This window comes from Homo sapiens, chromosome 4, assembly GCF_000001405.40.
Source record: "Homo sapiens chromosome 4, GRCh38.p14 Primary Assembly".
Taxonomy (NCBI): domain Eukaryota; kingdom Metazoa; phylum Chordata; class Mammalia; order Primates; family Hominidae; genus Homo; species Homo sapiens.
In genome coordinates this window covers 83,792,636-83,812,015 of record NC_000004.12, presented here as the reverse complement: position 1 = coordinate 83,812,015, position 19,380 = coordinate 83,792,636, and the positions used below count along the sequence as shown (strand labels likewise).

General features: G+C 36.7%; 1 long non-coding RNA gene across 2 annotated transcripts; it reads left to right on the top strand.

Moving 5' to 3' along the window:
* The first annotated feature begins 8,883 nt into the window (after positions 1-8,883).
* LOC105377315 (uncharacterized) lies at positions 8,884-15,580 on the top strand. 2 transcript variants are annotated; one of them, XR_938946.3, is made up of 3 exons: positions 8,884-8,923; positions 9,228-9,267; positions 15,400-15,580. It is a non-coding gene; the product is annotated as an uncharacterized LOC105377315 (long non-coding RNA). The 2 variants fall into 2 exon arrangements; XR_007058455.1 differs by having other exon boundaries at positions 8,908-9,267.
* Positions 15,581-19,380: the final 3,800 nt, after the last annotated feature.

The following is a 19,380-nucleotide window of genomic DNA, read 5'->3' as shown; positions in this document are numbered from 1 at the left end:
CTGCTTCAGCCAAGCAGAAGATTGAGTATTCAAAAAATGTGGATGATTTAAAAATATAAGTTAAAAAAAACATATGGAAAGGTAAATTTGGTATGCTTGATTTTTGCAATGGAAAGAAATAAACATCAAGAGGGATATTGGAACAGTCGTTAGTCTTTGGACACAAAATCAGAGTAAAATTGCCCGATTCTTTTAGAAGAAAATGAGGTATGGCTATATTTACAGTACAATTTCCTTATTGCAAGGAATCCAGGGTTGAGTTTTTTATCCAAGTTCACTCTTACATTTTCCTCATTCTATTGGATATTATAATAAAAAAATGGCACCAAAAGAAACTGTTTAATAGTCCATTTTGTACTGTCCATTACAGAAACCATGAAGTTATTTGGATGATAGATACAGAGATACGCTGCTCAGATGCCCCTTTCAAGAAAGAACTTGCTGCCTCTTGCTCAGTTTCTTCCTGGAGCTTTCAAGCATCTTTGCAGGGAAGTCACATCCTTCCCAGGGCAGCCCGACTGACCAAGGTAGGGGTACAAAGATTCACCCATTTCAGCCCATTGCAGGACACTCATTCAGATGGGATGCTTGAACCACAGTTCCTCACCAAGTTGGCCAAGGCATGGTTTCCTTTGCTCCTTCTTTCTTCCTCTCTTTTCCTTTTACCCGAGTAAATATCTTGCACCACAAGCTCCATCTCATCATCTGCTTCCTGAGAACCCAACCTGTGAAATTTATATTTAGAAGAGTCTCAGAAGTTCTTTGTCAGATCTTCCACTCAACTACAACAGTTTATGGTACTTCAAAGTAGCATCAGAATAGTCTGATGTGATGAAGAGTGCTGACTTTGTAATATACTTACCCATGGGTTCTAATCTTACCTCTACCTCTAATTAGCAGTTTGAACTTGGATAAAGTACATAATCCCTCTAAATTTTGGTTTTCTTATCTGTGAAACAAGGGTAATAATATTTACTGCAAAGAACTGTTATGAAGAATGAAAGTTAAGTAATGTATATAAAATGTTTACCATGGTATCTGGCTCATAGCAGGTAAGAAAAAATAATAAAAGAAAAAAGACTGAATAATTTACAAACAGATAAATCTACTCGAGAAAAAAGCAGAAATGGGAAGTTTAGAGATTTTGATAAAAGTTGGAATTCTTTGTTGATATGTTCATGTTCTTTGTAATGTTATGGTAAAAATTTCCTAGATGATAGTTTATAAGCCTAGTTAATAAAATAACCAGGGGCAGCAGAAAAATTGTAGTGTGGGAGGCTGTGGAGGTGGTGGGAATATCTGAAATAACTGTTACAGCAGTTGTAGCAAGAATCTTGGCCTCTCTCTGACACATATATTGGATCTACTCACTCTCCTTTATGTCTGAATCCTTACAATAAGAAATCTCTAGAGTATTAGTCACCTGAAATTGGCTGTACTAATAGCTGAGTAGTAAGAATAACTGAAAAGAATAAGACTTATAATAGGTTATAAGAGGAGACAAACTCAAGGAGGGGACTTGGTAACTGTGAAAGTACAATAAAAAAGCATTTAATTATGAAATTCAGCATTAAGTTTTTCTACGTCCAATAGTACTTTAAAATGTCTTCTATGTATCTCTCTATATCCTTGACATCAGTGCACATAAGTTTTGCCAACTGGATGAAAAATACTGACAGTTAGATTGTTATAATTATATAGACAGCCACTAGCTTTCAAAGTGCAAGACTTGCTTCAACTTGGAAAGCATAGTACCCACTATGTCTTCAAGTATCTGGGCATCTTGGAAGCCATTTCTGGCACAGAAGAAAGCTTGAGAGTAGACATTTCAGTTTTTATCTATAGTACAAAATGTTATTTCAACCCCATAGCTCCTAAGGAATGAAGCTAGTGTCAAAGATTTAATGCCTTTTCACATTAGTGATGTCAGCACAAAATGGCCATCTTCTCTGAATAATTTATCTTCCTGCTGCATAATTTTCTTATCTTTTTTTCTACATTTTGGCTTTTTACTGTAGATGAGAAGGTAAATGGCTGTTAGTCCCTGACAAAACCTGTGGAGCATCCTTCCCATCAATCAATTAAAAAACACTTACCTTACATTCAACATGATTTATTTCTTGTTAATACAATTGTCTCACTATATCCTTCTATTATTATACCCTTAATTCCATTAGCCATTCACTTAATGCTCACTTTAAAGCTGACCCCCAAAGAGCTTAAAAGAGAGAGGGAAGTCCGTCTAATAGTGGCATTGCCAATAAAATTCTGGAAGCTCTTCCCCTAAAGCCTTGTAGGTCACGGAAAAGATAGGTCACAGAATGTATCCTGCCTGAAAAGAATAAAGCAATCTCTCATTTATTTATTCTGATGGATAATGCTTGATGGCTTAAAAATCCTTAAGAGCTTTCATCTTAAAAGTCAACACAATAAGTTCACCAAGTGAAATCCTACACATTGCACAAGGATGGATAAGACTCTTCCACGTTTTTCTTAATAAAATTTAAAAGGGGAAAACAAAGAGAAAACCATTTGTATTTTTTGAAGATTAATGACTCATTTGTTTGGAGGTGGAGCAAAAGGTTAACCTCTTAAACAGCTAAGTGACACACAAAAAATGTAGTATTATTTCTCATAGTGGTGAAGCTACATGCTCTCTAGCAAATGTCCTCCATTTGGATTGAAGTTTAAAAGCTATAAAAAGAAATCCTTCTACTGCACTTCTAAAATTATAGGTTGAAGAGCCGCTATGATTTTTCTCAGTGAGAACTTATGCTTTCTTTCTGAAATTTACTTATACGAATGTCTTCATACAATATACAAGCATATGTATTTTTGTCAATGCATATTGGATTAGGTCATATGTGGCAGGCTAGATATGCCTTGCTAATAGACATTTCTGTCTGCTTCCTTGCTGATAGAAACCTAGTTTTATTCAGGTGCCTGTGCTTCAGAGATAGAGAATCCATCTGCAGCCTAAGGGTAAACCTGGACAGTAAAATCAGTACTGGAAATTCCCCAGCCCTTATTGGTCATTAAAGTCGAGGCAGACTTCTGGGACAAGTTTCCTCATTTCTAAAAATAATGATAAAACATGGATGTGTTCATAACCACTGTGATACCTGGGGTCTTAATCATTATCTTGTGACCTTGAGAAGTGGTAGCTAAGTATGAAGTCAACATCCTGGGTATGAGAGAGTAGAAAGATAGAAGATATCTCTTCCCTTGAAACATAATTTATCCCTGGAATTCATCAAACTGAAACTGTCTTACTTCAGTGCTTTTTGTTAAATGAAATAATACATAGGCTCGTTATGTCAGGTGACTAAGCATTATCTATTAATTACATCTGGAAGCATCATGGCTGATAACATCATAGACACTTTTTTAAATTGTCTTTTCTCTTTTTGCTATTTGCTTCCTCTTCCTCCCCTTTCTCTTTTTCTTTCTCTGTTCTGAATCTTATCTCATTTAGCCCTAATTTTAATTAACTTATTTTTATGATCTAGTGTGTGTCCTTTTGTATTTTTCTGTATATACACTTAATTACATACAAAGGCATATAAATGCACATATATACATACACATTTATACACATACATACATACCCATTGGTAAATAAGTATGCAAGTTTTATGGCTTTACCAACAAAATGGGATTATATCATACACATTCTTTTGCACCGTTTTTTTTTCATTCCACAATGCTGCATGGACATTTCTTCAGGTCAACTGATATAGCTCTAAATTCAACACAGGTTCAATAATATTTATGATATGGGTATGAAAATTCATTTTCCTATTGATTGTCATTCTCTTTGTTTTTAATTTATTGCTAAATAAACGAGAGCTAACATAAACCTTGGGCATATATCCTTTCATACTGGTGCTTTTATTTACATGGAATAGATCCCAAGATAGCTATGTGAAAGGAAATATGCATTTTCTTTTTAATAATTATTTTCCCTAAAGGCCATAGTGATTCACAGTTTCACCAGTGATATGTGAAAAAAACTATTTCCCCAAATAGTCACCAGCACTAGTTTTCACTTCTTAAGCTTTTGTCAACTTGATAGGTACAATGTGATAGTTCATTCTTACTCCGATTTGCATCTTCCTCTCTGCTGCTAGAGTTTCAGCATATTTGGGAATGTTTGTTAACATTTGTATTTTCTCTCCTACAAATAGGATATTCTTGTCTTCTGCCTGTTTGTTGTTGCTGCTGTGTGGCTTTTTCTTTAACCAGTAAACTTGTAGAGTGTTTTATTTATTATATAAGATAATTCTGTCATCGGTGTTGGAAATGCTGTTAAACAATCAATCCTTTGTCTTTGGGCATGGTACATTTTCTAAACATAAATTTTTTAATGGCAAATATGCCCATATTTTATTGCCTAGTTTCTGAGTTTACAGTTAATATTAAGAACATGTTTATACCTGTGTTGTATTCATAAGACTTTTTCTCATTTTCTCAAATTGAGATAATACCTCAATTTGTTTTTTAAAATCCAATCATTAGATTAAAAATCATTAAATTAAAAATATCTCAACTCATAGAGGCAGTAAGTAAATGGTGGTTTCCAGGGGCTGGGAGGAGAGGAAAATGGGGATAAAGTTTCAGTTATGCAAGATGAGAAAGTTCTAGAGAGATCTAGTATACAAAAATATGCATATAGTTAGCACTACTGTGCTATACACTTTCAATTTTAAGAGTATAGATTTGAAGTTGTGTATTTTTATACTATAAAAATACATTTACACTAATTTTAAGAGGAAAAATTATGATGTGTTTCATCACAACTCAAAAGATACCTAAATAATTTTCACAGATAGAAAAATACACTAATTAAACAATAAAAACAAGTATATGTAAGTAATAAACAACAACTTGAATGTAAAAACAGCTAATGCATATAATGTATATGTGTATTGGAGTGCTTTTTCCTCCTTCTTTCCCATTTTATTCACCAATGTTTAAACCTTTTGGGAGATTTAGGGTTATCTTACATTCAAACTGCACAGAAAATCAACCTTAGATAAAAACAAAAGTGGAATACTATTTGTACTATTTCAAAATTTGGAAATAGTACATGTGCACAGCAGATTGAAAAAATGTTAAGAAAAAAAACACTACCCCTTCATTCCTTCTACTTGACGGATGTGTATAAAGCAAATATTTTGGGTTCACCCAAACATCCCAATCCCAATTTATTATATGATACTCTATGACTGAAAACTATTGTGTTGAGTAAATGGTGTGTCTTTGCATGAAGCCATAATGTTGAAAAATCACTTATTTTAGTCCATTTATTTGGTATGGTTTGGGTGATAAAGCTTTACACACACACAAAAAGGAATCCTTATCCAAAAAGTGGTATAACATTTCAAGAGCCATTGTGACCAAGTCATTAATCCAATAGTCATTATCAGAGAAAACTTTGTCATCCCCTAGATTTTTTGAAGGACTTTAATTATTTTGTTTTATAATTATGTCTCTAATCCATCAGGAATTTTATATGGCATAAGATAGGATTCAACTCAATTTTATTCCAGAAGAATATATTTTATTTATTTTTAATATTAAATGTTTGTAGTTTATGTCTACATTATTTTATTCCATTGATCATTTTGTCTATGATGAAATTGATACTTTTTTCCAGCTTTATTGATGTTTAAGTGACAAACAGAAATTGTATATATTTAAGGCATTAAAATGTGATGTTTTGATAAACATACACATTGTGCAATGATTCCACAATCAACCTAATTAACATATCCATCACCTCACATAGCTACGTGTGTGTGTGCGCACACACGTGTGTGTGTGGTGAAAATACTTAAGATCTATTCTCTCAGCAAATTTCAAGTATACAATACGTTATTCTTTTTTTTTTTATACTGTAAGTTTTAGGGTACATGTGCACATTGTGCAGGTTAGTTACATATGTATACATGTGCCATGCTGGTGCACTGCACCCACTAACTCGTCATCTAGCATTAGGTATATCTCCCAATGCTATCCCTCCCCACTGCCCCCACCCCACAACAGTCCCCAGAGTGTGATATTCCCCTTCCTGTGTCCATGTGATCTCATTGTTCAATTCCCACCTATGAGTGAGAATATGCAGTGTTTGGTTTTTTGTTCTTGCGATAGTTTACTGAGAATGATGTTTTCCAATTTCATCCATGTCCCTACAAAGGACATGAACTCATCATTTTTTATGGCTGCATAGTATTCCATGGTGTATATGTGCCACATTTTCTTAATCCAGTCTATCATTGTTGGACATTTGGGTTGGTTCCAAGTCTTTGCTATTGTGAATAATGCCGCAATAAACATACGTGTGCATGCGTCTTTATAGCAGCATGATTTATAGTCCTTTGGGTATATACCCAGCAATGGGATGGCTGGGTCAAATGGTATTTCCAGTTCTAGATCCCATTCTTAACTAAGGTTACTATGCTCTACATTAGTTCTTCAGAATCTATTCAGCTTATAACTGAAAGTCTGTATCCTTTGACCAACATCTTCCCATTTACTCCCCCTTACCTGCTAGCAACCATCATTCTACTCTCTGCTTCTATGGGTTTGACTTTTTTAGATTCCACATGTAAGTGAGATCATGTTATTTGTCTTTCTGTGCCTGGCTTCTTATTTCACTTAGTATAACATATTCCCAGTTCATCCATATGACAAATGATAGTATTTCCTTCTTTTTAAAGGCTGAATTATATATATGTAAAACATTTTCTTTATCCATTAATCTGTCAATATCTTGGCTATTGTGGATAATGCTGCATGAACTTGGGAGTGCAGATGGTTTCATTTTCTGTGGATATATACCCAGAATGGGACTGCTGGGTCATATGGTAGTTCTATTTTTAATTTTTTAGGCAATCTCTATTCTGTTTTTCATAATGGCTATAACAATTTATATTCCCATCAACAATGTATAAGGGTTTCTTTTTCTCCATACCTTCACCAACACTTATCTCTTGTCTTTTTAATAATAGCCATCCTAACAGGTGTATAGTAACATCTCATTGTGGTTTCAATTTGCATTCCCTGATGATTGGTGATGTTAAGTATTTTTTCATATACCTGTTGGCCATTTGTATTTTATTTTGAGAAACATCCATTCAGGTCCTTTGATCATTTTTTAAATTATTTTTTCTGCTATTGAGTTGTTTGCATACCTTATATATTTTGAATATTATCCCCTTATCAAATGTGTAGTTTGCAAATATTTCACCTCATTCCATAGGTTGCCTTTCATATTGCTAATTGTTTCCTTTGCTGTGCAGAAACTTTTTAATTTGATGTAGTCCCATTTGTTTATTTTTGTTTTCGTTGTCTGTGCTTTGGGTGTCATATCCAAAAAAAATCATCGCCACAACTAATTCAAGGACTTTTTCCCCTATGTTTAAATTTTATAGTTTTATGCCTTACATTTAATTCTTTTTTTTTTTTTTTTGACCGAGCTTTGCTCTTGTTAACCAGGCTGGAGTGCAGTGGCATGATCTCGGCTCATTGCAACCTCTGCCTCGCAGGTTGAAGTGATTCTCCTGCTTCAGCCTCCCGTGTAGCTGGGATTGCAGGCATCTGCCACCACACCTGGCTACTTTTTTGTATTCTTAGTAGAGATGGGGTTTCACCATGTTGGCCAGGCTGGTCTCCAACTCCTGACCTCAGGTAATCCACCAGCATTGGCCTCCCAAAGTGCTGGGATTACAGGCGTGAATCACCATGCCCAGCCCATTTAATTCATTTTGAGTTGATTTTTGTGATGGTGTTAGATAAGGATCCAGTTTTATTCTTCTACGTGTAGATGTCTAATTTTCCCAACACCATTCATTTAAGAGACTATCCTTTCCCCATTGTGCATTCTTGGCACCTTTGTCAAAGATTAGTTGACCATAAATGCACTGGTTTCTTTCTGAGTTTTCTATTCTGTTCTATTCTATACAACTATATTTATTCCAGTACCATATTATTTTGATTACTATAGGTTTATAATATAACTTGATATGAGAAAATGTGATATCTTCAGTTTTGTTCTTCTATTCAAGATTGCTTTAGCTAGTTTGGGTCTTTTGTGGTTCTGAAATAATTTTAGGACTATTTTTTCTACTTCTATGAAAATTACCATTTAAATTTTGATAGAGATTACACTGAAATTTGTAGATTGCTTCTAGTGAGAAATCCACTGGTAGCTTCATGAAGGCTTATCAAGGGGTTTCCTTGTATGGGATGAGCTTTTTTCTCTTGCTGCTTTCAAAATTCTCCCCTGGTCCTTAACTTTTGACAGTTTGATTTTAATGTGTGTTGGTGAACAATATAAATTCTTTGTTAGGTAATTTATAGGTCTCTGTTTCTTTAGGGAAATCATTATGTTCCTTTGGTGGTGTCATGTTTTCTTATTTTTTATGGGTCTTAATGCTTTGTGTTGCTGCTTTCACATTTGAAGAAGCAGTCCTTCTACAGTCCTTACTGACTGGCTTTGGGAGAGAAATGCCTTCACTAGTTATCCCAGGTAGAGATTCTGAGGCCCTCAAACCCTTTCAATGGATGCACTCATTCAACACCTCTTTTTCCATCTTGAAGGTGAGGAGAATTCTTAAGATTGTGTGCTTCTCAATCTTGCAAAGCCAGGCCAGGTGCTGACCATCTCCTGTTTATTTTACCTAAGGTGATGCCTTAAATCCTCAAGTTTGTGTGCCTTCTCCTGCAGTGTCAAGCCAGTTTTCTGTGCAAGATGCTTGTACTTGCTGTCCACAGGTTGCTCTCGTGGAGTCCACTTTGAGAAGGGCAATGGTGAGGTGTGCAGAGTGTTTGTGATGCTCACAGACCAGTTGGGAGGGGTCTTCAGGCCAGGTATCCCAAGCAGCTCATGGGCAGGCTTCCTAATGGAGTCCACAAAGCAGTTAGTAGAGTCTGTAACCTCTCTTTTCTATTCCTGGCCTCTCTCAACCACTCAGCTGTGCCAACTACCTCAGAATTCTAGGTGTGATGGAAAGAAATAGGCCTCCTGTGCCAGATTCCACACAACTGAGGGAACCAGGCACTCACTTACTACACTCTCACTTTCCCCCATGGGAGAAAACATGGTTCGAGGGGTTATCTCTTGGCACTGAGCAGTGCTGCCTGGGGGAGGACCAACATGGGTAAAATGAAATTTTCTTACCCTCTTTGATGTGCCTATTCTTAAATTTTTTGCTCTAACAAAGTGCTGGAACTCATCCACTAGGTTCCTGGAGTCCCATCAAGGTACTGTTGTCTATGAGTAGTTCTCAAAATCAATGCTTCTGTAACGGGTTGGGAGGGATGATAATAGAAAGCTGCTATTCTGCCATCTTACTGTTCCTATGATTTCTTTATGGTCCATTTAATGTAGATCCTGGCCCTACTTGCTAAATTTATTCCCCCAATATTTTCTTGTTTGTGTTACTATTGTGAAGAAAATATTTTTCTCATTTCTCCTTTTTGGTTTTAATTTTTGGCATAGAGAAAAGCTATTGATTTTTGTAATTCTATTTTATATCAAATCAACTTATGAAACTATCTTATTAATTCAAGAAGGCAATTTTCCTAGAGTTTCTTAGATTTTCTGGGTTACAATTATATTAACAAAAAGATTAATTCAATCTATTTTTATTGTTTACATAAACTATTTCATTATTTTTCTCTTACCACATTACCTTTACCCTCCAGGATTATATTGTGTAAGAGTAATAGCCAATTTCTCTGTATAGCTGCTAATTTTAATTGAAGTGGTTTTAGTGTTTAGAATAACAGTTTCTTTTTAAAAGTAAATAGTCTTTGTTATATTTAGGTAGTTTCCTAGTATTCTTATTTTAATCAGTGTCTTTATTAAGAATCAGTACTTAATTGCATCAAATTTTTGTCACTATAAGATTTTCTCTTATTTTATGGATTAATGTAATATATATTGGATTTTTCTCATACTGAACCATTCTTGCACTCTAGAAATTAACACAAAATTCTTATTTACATTTTATTTAGAAGTTTATCTTCTAGATTTTTACAGAAGATTAGTCTACAATCATCTTTCATATTCTTTATATCAGATTTTGGTATTTTAAAAAATGGCTTTATAAAGAATACATTTCATTGGGCTTATCAATATTTTCTATAGCTTCGAGTAAGTTAAATAACACAGGTCTTATCTATTCATTAGAGTCAGATATAACTCAGCCAGAACCCATCTTGTTCTGGCACTTTTTTCAATGATAGATCTTTACCCTTCTACATTGATCAGACAATTAGAGTGTTCCACTTCTTGTTGAATCAGTTTTTGTGATTTGCATTTTGTTAGGAAGTATCTACACTTTTTGGACCTATTGTCATAGAATTGAGTGTAGTACTCTCTTATAACATTTTCAAATGCTTCTGTATATCTATTCATGCCACCTCTGTTGTTCATGACATTGTAAATGCCCACTTACCCTCTTTTATCCCTAAACATTCTGAAAAATGTTTATCAGTTTCATTGGCCTTTTCAGAACAATCAGGTTTTTGAATTTGTTTCTTTTTTCTTGGTTTTTGTGCATTTGTTTTGTTTTTTGGTTCATCTTTTATCTTCTCCCCACTTACTTTGGTTTTTACTTTATGTTGCAAGTACAAAGTTACTTTGTTTTTCATTCTCTATTAATAAAATTAATTAAGTCTATGAATTTCTTCTGAGAACAGCTTTTCAGTGTTGCTAAGTTTTTATCAAAAACAAGTCCCTGTTTTCTAGACAACTGTGAGTCACATATGTCAAATTATAGACAAACTTAAGATTGAAAATTAAGATGTAATTGTGAATGTGCATAGCAAAGACATAGAATCAACCTCGATGCCCATTGACAATGGGTTAAAGAAATTGTGATACATATATATGATGGAATACTATAAAGCCATAAAAAAAGAATAAAATTATGTCCTTTGCAGCCACATAGATGCAGCTGAAGGCCATTATCCTAAGCAAATTAACACAAAAACAGAAAAACAAATACCACATATTCTCACTTATACGTAGGAGCTAAACATTGGGTACACACAAACAGAGATGGGAACAGTAGACACTACAGACTCCAAAAATGGGGAAAAAAGGGATGGGGCAGAGGTTGAAAAAATATCTATTGTGTGCTATGTTCACTATTTGGGTGATGGGTTCAATAGAAGCCCAAACCTTAGCACCACAAACTATATCCATGTAACAAACCTGCACATGTACCTCCTGAATCTAAAATCAAATCAAAATAAAATTAAAAGAAGAAAAAAATATAAGTTGAGATATTTAAAGTAATGTGCAGGTGAAGGATAAGTACACTTTATGAGTGGAGGTTATATATGCAATGAGAGCCAAGGTCATAAACAATTGTCATAATGACTGTCTATCTAAAACCCTTCCATACTGGGTCACAAATATATAGTCCTATTGATACTACCAATACAGGGCAGGTTCTCCAATTGGTCTATTGGAACACAAAATAAAACCTTTTTAGCATAAACAAGAAGATATTGGTTAAAACTGTATTCAGTAGACAGAAATATGGCTAAATGATCAAGACACCATCTTAGCTCAAACTGCCATAAAAAATTGTCATGGGCCAGGCACTGTGGTTCCTGCCTGTAATCCCAGCACTTTGGGAGGCCAAGGTGGGAGAAGCACTTGAATCCAGGAGTTCAAGACCAGCTTGACCAATATAATGAGGCCCTGACTCTACCAAAAAAATAATTAGCCGGGCGAGGTGGCACATGCCTGTAGTCCCAGCAACTTGGAAGACTGAGGCAGGAGGATTACTTAAGCCTGCCCTGGGAGGTCAAGACTTCAATAAGCCATAATCGTTCCACTGCACTCCAGCCTGGGTGACAGATTGAGACCCTGTCTCAAAAAAACAAACAAACAAACAAACAAAGTCACTGATTGTGTGGCTTAAACAACAAGAATTTATTTCTCACAGTTCTGGAGTCTGGAAGTCCAAGATCAAGGGGCTAGCAGGCTCAGGTTATGGGTTATGCTCACAGATCCTTGGGTCGCAGACAGCCACCCTCTGTGTCCTTATATGGCCTTCCCTCAGTGTGTGCAGACGGAAACAGAGAAAAGAGCAATATCTCTGGCGTCTCTTCTTGTAAAGGCACTAATCTCATCATGTGGGCCCCACACCCATGACTTCATCTACACCTACGTACCTTCCAAAGGCCCCATCTTCAAACACTATCACATCAGGCATTAGAACTTCAACATATATAGTTCAGAGAATGAGGGGCACAGTCAATCCATAGGAGGCACCAAATTATTCTGTAATTTGCACCAAATTACAGGAGGCACCTGTATATATGGAGGCACCAAATGCTACAGAATGGGATGGCTTAAACAACAAGAAGCCTTGTTGGCTTTCTCATTCTTTGCTTTCACTAAATTTTATCAATTATATTCATCAAAAGATGAAATTCAGAGATACCCATGTTGGTTGAAGTGCAAAATAAACCCTAGTGTGATATTCCTGAATGTTGAGGACCATCACATGGTTAATCAGAGATAAACTGTCTTTCAGCTCCTTTTTCAATTCAGTTCATATTACCACCTACAGGTTTTTATTAAGTCTTCCTGGCAGCTTAGAACAGAAGTGTGGAGAAAAATTGTGTTTTGTGTAGTCTGCCCCCACAAGCTTTAGACTTACAAAAATTCTCTTCACAGCAGGGAAGTATAAAAGCCTTTTCAGAGGTATGTTTGTGCTGCCCTTCCCAAAAAGAAAAAGATGGTGGTGCCTCTCCTGACTCCATGAGAGGAAAGGCGCCTCCTTTGTCTCTGATCAGAGCATTTAAGCCTGAAGGGCTGGCCACAGAATTCTATGCATCTTTTAGAACTTTGATGTTAAACTGAATTCATACAAAAAAAAAAAGTCTCCATCAGTCTAGGGTTGCTGGTAACATAGAAGAATACTGATTAAGGGTGATATATCCAGAGTTCTCCTGGTTCAACTCCTCCTACTTACTGGAAGGCTCTATTCCAATCTTTCTAAATCTTAATTACCTTCTGTGCTGCTAAAGACTCTGGTCAAATTAAAAAAAAAAAATGACAGATTTTCCTAAAACCAAGTCTGAAGCATTAGTAGGTGATAGTGTTTACCGTATATAAACATTGTCTTTTGACATTTTGAATTTCTAATTGAAGCTTTCGCTCTGCTTGTCTAGTGGTGGCTGAAGCAGGAGGGTTTGCAGTGATGCTCCAATCTGGTCTTGGTGCCATCACAGGTGCTAGATGACCTGTCACATTGAGTTTTACTTTAAATATTCTGGATTTTGCAATCATGTAGTGAATCATCCAGGTAAACTTAAACTTACACTTAAACCAGGCTGCTCAGATTCAAATCCTGACTCTCCTTATTTATTCAGCAAGTTAACCTCACTGTGTGTCAGTTTGCTCAGCTGTAAAATGGGGATAAAATAGAACCCACTTCATAGGGTTGCTCTGACCTAGCTGGTCTGACATAGCACCTAGAACAGAGCCTACCTAGCTCATACTAAACACTGAGTAGGCATTAGCTATCATTATTTCATCATGCTAAGCAAACCAAATGTCTCCTTTAATAGTACAACACATCTAAATTCTAGTGATGCCTAGATTTCTTAAAAAAGAAATTGTAGAATTCAGTACATTTATTAAATCCTGTATCCATCCTCCTAACATATTTTGACAACTTATGTACATTTAAAATTTTTTCAATTAAAACCCAATTTACACAGTTAATTTATGTATTTGATATCTGATTTTCTGCTGGCAAGTATTGTTAAAAAATAATTACAGTTGTTTTTATGCACCACTTGGCTTAGGCATTATGTATATGTATGTATTTCTAAAGCGTAATAAAATAAAATTGCCTGTAATCTGCCCTCCAACTCTAAGGTCTGATTAACCCCTTTTAAAAGTTTTCATGTCAAATCTTACAGAAATTTTCTGTGTTTGTACAGATATAGTTATACACACTATATATATAGATAGATACATATATGTATATATTTATAATAGAGGAACATGCTGTACATATTAGTTTGCAACTTGCTCTTTTCTTTTAATGATATATAGTGGATCTCATTTTGTGTCAAGGTACATAAATCCATCTCATTTTTAAAAACTCTCTTTTCTAATATATCATAGACACTTCTCCATGTCAATATCAATAAGTTTACTTTATCCTTTTAACAGATATATTCAATTTCACTGGATGAGCTATGATTATATACTAATGGACATTTTGGTTATTTAAAATTTTTTTCATTTGAAAGTAATAGTGCAATAAATGCACTTACAGTTGTGTCTTTGCACACTTCCATTATTTCCTTAGGAATTGCTAGGTTTTGAGCATACATGATTTTTAGTATCAGATTTTTACTATAATTTTTGTGTATATTTCATATAACACAAACAAAATATTTACCTAGGCATGTAGTTAGCCATCTCTTCTCTAAAAAGAAATGAATTCCTTCTTCCTTTGCACACTGACATGCATTTTCCTGGAAAGAAAAAAAAATGCTGCCTTTCCTTGTCTCATTTTCAGTTAAGACTGAAAGATTTGAGCAAGGCAACAGAAACTCTTTCTTTTGAAGATTAAAAACTACATGATATGGCCAGGCACGGTGGCTCATGCCTGTAATCCCAGGACTTTGGGAGGCCGAGGCAGGCGGATCACCTGGGGTTGGGAGTTCAAGACCAGCCTGGCCAACATGGTGAAACCCCATCTCCACTAAAAATACAAAAATTAGCCAGGAGCAGTGGCGGGCACCGGTAATCCCAGCTACTCGGGAGGCTGAGGCAGGAGAATCACTTGAACCCAGGAACCGGAGGTTGCAGTGAGCCAAGATCACACCACTGCACTCCAGCCTGGGCAACAGAGTGAGACCCATCTCAAAAAAATAAAATAAATAAAATTATATGTGTGTGTGTGTGTGTGTGTGTATCCCAACAGCCAGTACCTGCTGACTTCAAACCACCAGAAATGTGTGTGTATATATCTATATACACACACACACACATACACACACATATATATAACTACATGATAAAGTACATCAACTCGTGTATGCAAGGGTGGCAATGAAAATAGTAGTTTTGGCTGAGAAGGAATAGTTATTGATGAGCTACAGGGAGAGGGGCAATTTTGTCTTATTGCTCACCTTGTCGTGAAGACAGCCAAGTTGTGAGGTTAAATTGAAGTTGGTAAATACACAATTATTCAGCTTGTGTCTTGGTAATAAATGTGTCTCTAGGCAGTGAACCTGCCAGTCCTCAGAGTACCACTTTGCTGATTAAGGAGATAAAAAGAGGATGTTGTGGAAAGGGTCATTTCAAGAGTAATGAATCCTTATTCTGTCACTGTACTTTGCCGACAGGGAGAAGAAGTTTAACAGAGATGAGGCATCCTGGAATATCCAGGTGGCAACATGGAGTAGAGATGATGACTACTTCTAGGCCATGAAAAACCAGCAGGATCCATGATGGCTGAGAAATGACAATATTGGTGAATTAAGTACATCTCAGGGAGAAGCCCTATTAAATTAGCCTAATACCTTATTGCATGATCAATAACAATGTATTTATTTTGTACTGTGGCCTTGAGTGACTTTTCATTAGGAATTTAAATGACCTTAGAAAGCCACTGAGTATAAATTTAGAATACTTTTAGGAGATATTAGCCTGGTCTCAGAGCAAAAGATGAGTGAAAATGCAGCTCATTATTTAAGTCAGAAAGAGAATGTCAAAAAACATTTCGCTGTGGCATTGAGGGAGGTAGTGCAAGTGATGTATGCAACCAAATGAGATTGCTTTGTTTTTTGGTTTTCTGGGCACAGAATAAAATAGATCAAGAAAGTGTTTGCAGTTCCGATAGATATTAACCCAGATAACTGTTGAGATTGAGAAGGTTGTGAGATTGGCAATGACAGATGTTGCTTCAAAGTAAATGCGTCAGTGAATTGCAGGATTCTGTCAATGCTCCCCCATGCACTCTCAGGTTTCTTTACCATTTCCATGCTCACAGATATTAGGCGGATTTTCACTCCCAAAAGCCAGTACCTGCTGCCCTCAAACCACCAGAAATATTTTAGGGGACCCTGAGTGTACATTCTGACAGTACCCCTGAACCAATGGCAGATGTGTAAACCAGGATTTCTCAACCTCGGCACTATTGACACTTGGGGACAGATAGTTATTTATTGGGGAAGGAGGAGACTATCCAGTGTGTTGTAGGATTTGTAGAATTTTCAGCAGCGTCCTTGACTTCTCCCGCTGGGGTATCACACTTCCCCTAGTGTGACAACCAAAAACGTTTCCACATATCATCAAATGTTCCCTGGAGGGTGAATCCTGCCAGGTTGAGAACCATGGCTGTAGACATATGAATACTGCAGCCCCGTTGTCCCTAACTGGACCATTCTGAGTTATGACCAACGTTGGCTTCACAGGGCTCCTGAGGGATTCCTTCTGTAGAACTTGGCTTGCTACTCTCGCTTAACCTCCTTCCTTTCTGCTCAGTTCCCAGTCCCCTGAATAGTTCTCCCTGGGACCATTTCCCAGTAGTCACACAAATCCTCATCTCAGTATCTGCTCCTGAGGATGCCAACCTCAATAGTAAGGCAGACTCTGTAACAACTGAGATGCTAGCTAAATGGTCACAGAGTTAGATGACACTATTCTGAATACCTTTGCTGACCCTTTTACTGTTCTCCACCTTCTACCTTTACTTGAAGTAAAGGGGAAAAAAAGTGTCAGTTCCTACTTGGTGTACTTAATAAAAGGGGGATGGTGGTAAATACTTGTAATTCTGAAATTCTGACACATTTTTTCTGGGCATTGACATCCTGATGCGCTTGCTTTCCCTCTTTCTCTCTGTCTCTGTCTCTGTGTCTCTCTCTCTCTCTCTCTCTCTCTCTCTCTCTCTCTCTCTCTCTCTCTCTCTCTAATTTACAAGCATGGGAGCAAGCTCCCTTTTGTTTTCATCATTTCATTCCTTCAAAGCAACAAGGGGAGCTTTCTCTGGCCTCTGTTGTCTCCCAGCTACCATCTTGAACTTTACTCTCCAGTCATTCACCAGCCTGATCTTCACCCCACCTTCCTTGGAGTGCTACGGGCATTCTCTGGTCTTTTCCTCTTAGCTTACCTACTTTTACTCTCAATGCCTTATCTAATATTCATTAACTCTCTATGTAACATGTCTTAAAACCTTTACTTGTTATCATTTCTATTACTTGTTCCAATAAGGATAAGAGAAAGAAAATATAGGAAGCCTGAGAAAGTCTGAATCATCTTAGGTAGTTTGAGGTATCAAATTTATTCACACATCTTTTAGGAGGAGAAAATGAATCAGAAGCTAAACCAGGCCAATGTCAATCTGAGACTGTCCTAAAGGAGGAAGCAGCAGTGCGAGCATACCTTTCCTCCAGCTGCAGCTTTTCCCTAAATCCCTGTTTACTACTCAAGACTTTACAGTGATATCTTGAACACCACTAATCTGGTGCCTTTGATTTTACAAGTGGCCTTGGGACACATCTCAAAATGAAGACAAAAATGATCCCTTTCTGATGACCCTGCTAAGCCAATGAATAAAATCAATAAAAACGCAATTAATTTGGATTCATTTGGACTGAAGAATCAGAAGACAAAATAAGGAAGCATATTTGCCAGGGTATGTGATGTAGCTTTTGGCCAGAAATCCTGCTTCCGAAAGCATCCACCTCAGATCTAGCGGCAGTGATAAACTCCCTGTGTCTTATACATCCATAAATCCTTGTACCAACCAAGATTTCAATGGTCTCTTCTCTTCAACCCACATATAAAGCACTCCAGACACTAATTTAGAATATTAGTTAATCTCAGAAAATTTTATTGAGACTCAGCAGATATTATTTCACAACCTGTATAACTTAAAAAACAAAAACAAAAACCCGGACTATCCACTTCAAAGAGATTCCTCTTAGTGTGACCTTTTCCAAAGAAAATGTAATAAATTGCCCACTTTCCAAAATAATGATGCATTAGGAGGAGCTAACTTAGACTAGAAAAAACATCACAACTACATATGGCCAAATATAAATGGGAATTTGTAAAGTATTTTTTGAAGATAGATAAAATATATGAACATTGATTTTTAAAGGCAAGTGTATATTATATTGTAAAACTATCAATGGTGTTTTAAAAGGACTACAACGCAACTTAATATTCTACAGTGGAAGTACTAGCAACTAGATGTTGACATTAAAGGGGATTGCATGACTGTAAGAAGAGAGCATTGAGGGAGCTGATGGATGCAGTGACAGGTGGAGCTGATGAAACAGAAGGAAAGATATGGAGCCCAAGAAAGAAGAAATTAAGAAGGGAGAGGGCAATACAAGCATGGAGATGCTTCATCGGAGGTACATGGGAGAGGAATAAAGCCCACAAGAATATCCTAAGTCCAATAAAATGGGCAAGAGAAGAACATACCCCCTCTGCTTTCACAGAGAAAGCAGAAGCCATGTCAAAGGCATGAGAAAGGAACAAAGGTCGAACGAAAGGTGAGTGTGGAGAAGGACCTAAGTGACCAAAGAAGGGCTGTACTTGGAAGCATGATTTAGCTTTTGAGCCATCCAGGAAACCTTATGAAATTTGCTCTCTCAATTCCCAAAGGGATTGGATCTCTCTAAGCATGTTGAACCCAGTGATCACAGAGATAGACATAGTACCCCCAAGAGAAGCCAGAGAATGAGGAAGATCCTGGGACATAACTCCTGTTATGGATGGAATGTTTGTGTCCCCCTATAGTTCATATATTAAAACCCCACCCCCTAATATGATGATACTAGAAGTAGGGTCTTTGGGAAGTAGTTAGGATTAAATGAGATCATGAGGAAAGAGCCTTCATGAAGGGGATTAGTGTCCTCATAAGAGTCCTGAGAGAGCTTGCTCCTTCTCTCCACCATGTGAGGACACGGTGAAAAGACTGCTGTCTATGAGCCAGGAAGCAGGCCCTCACCACACACTGAATCTTCCAGAGCCTTGATCTTGGACTTCCCAACCTCCTGAACTATGAAGAAGTCCATGTTTGTTGCTTAAGTCACCAGTTTATGGTATTTTGGTCTAGCAACCTGAGAGACTAAGACTGTACTGTACTGTACTGTAAAAAAGGCTATTAGAAACATAACCTGTGTTTTATTGTTAGGGTGGAAGTCAAATGGGACCCTAGATATGAGAGACCACGATAACCCCAGCAAGAATTCGTTGTGATGCACAAATACTGAACAGACTTCATTGACTTAGGAAATAAGCATTTACTGAGCTCATCTCTGTTCCAGTCCCTGAGCTGGATCTGGGTCACAGAGGTGGGGGAACAGGGCCCC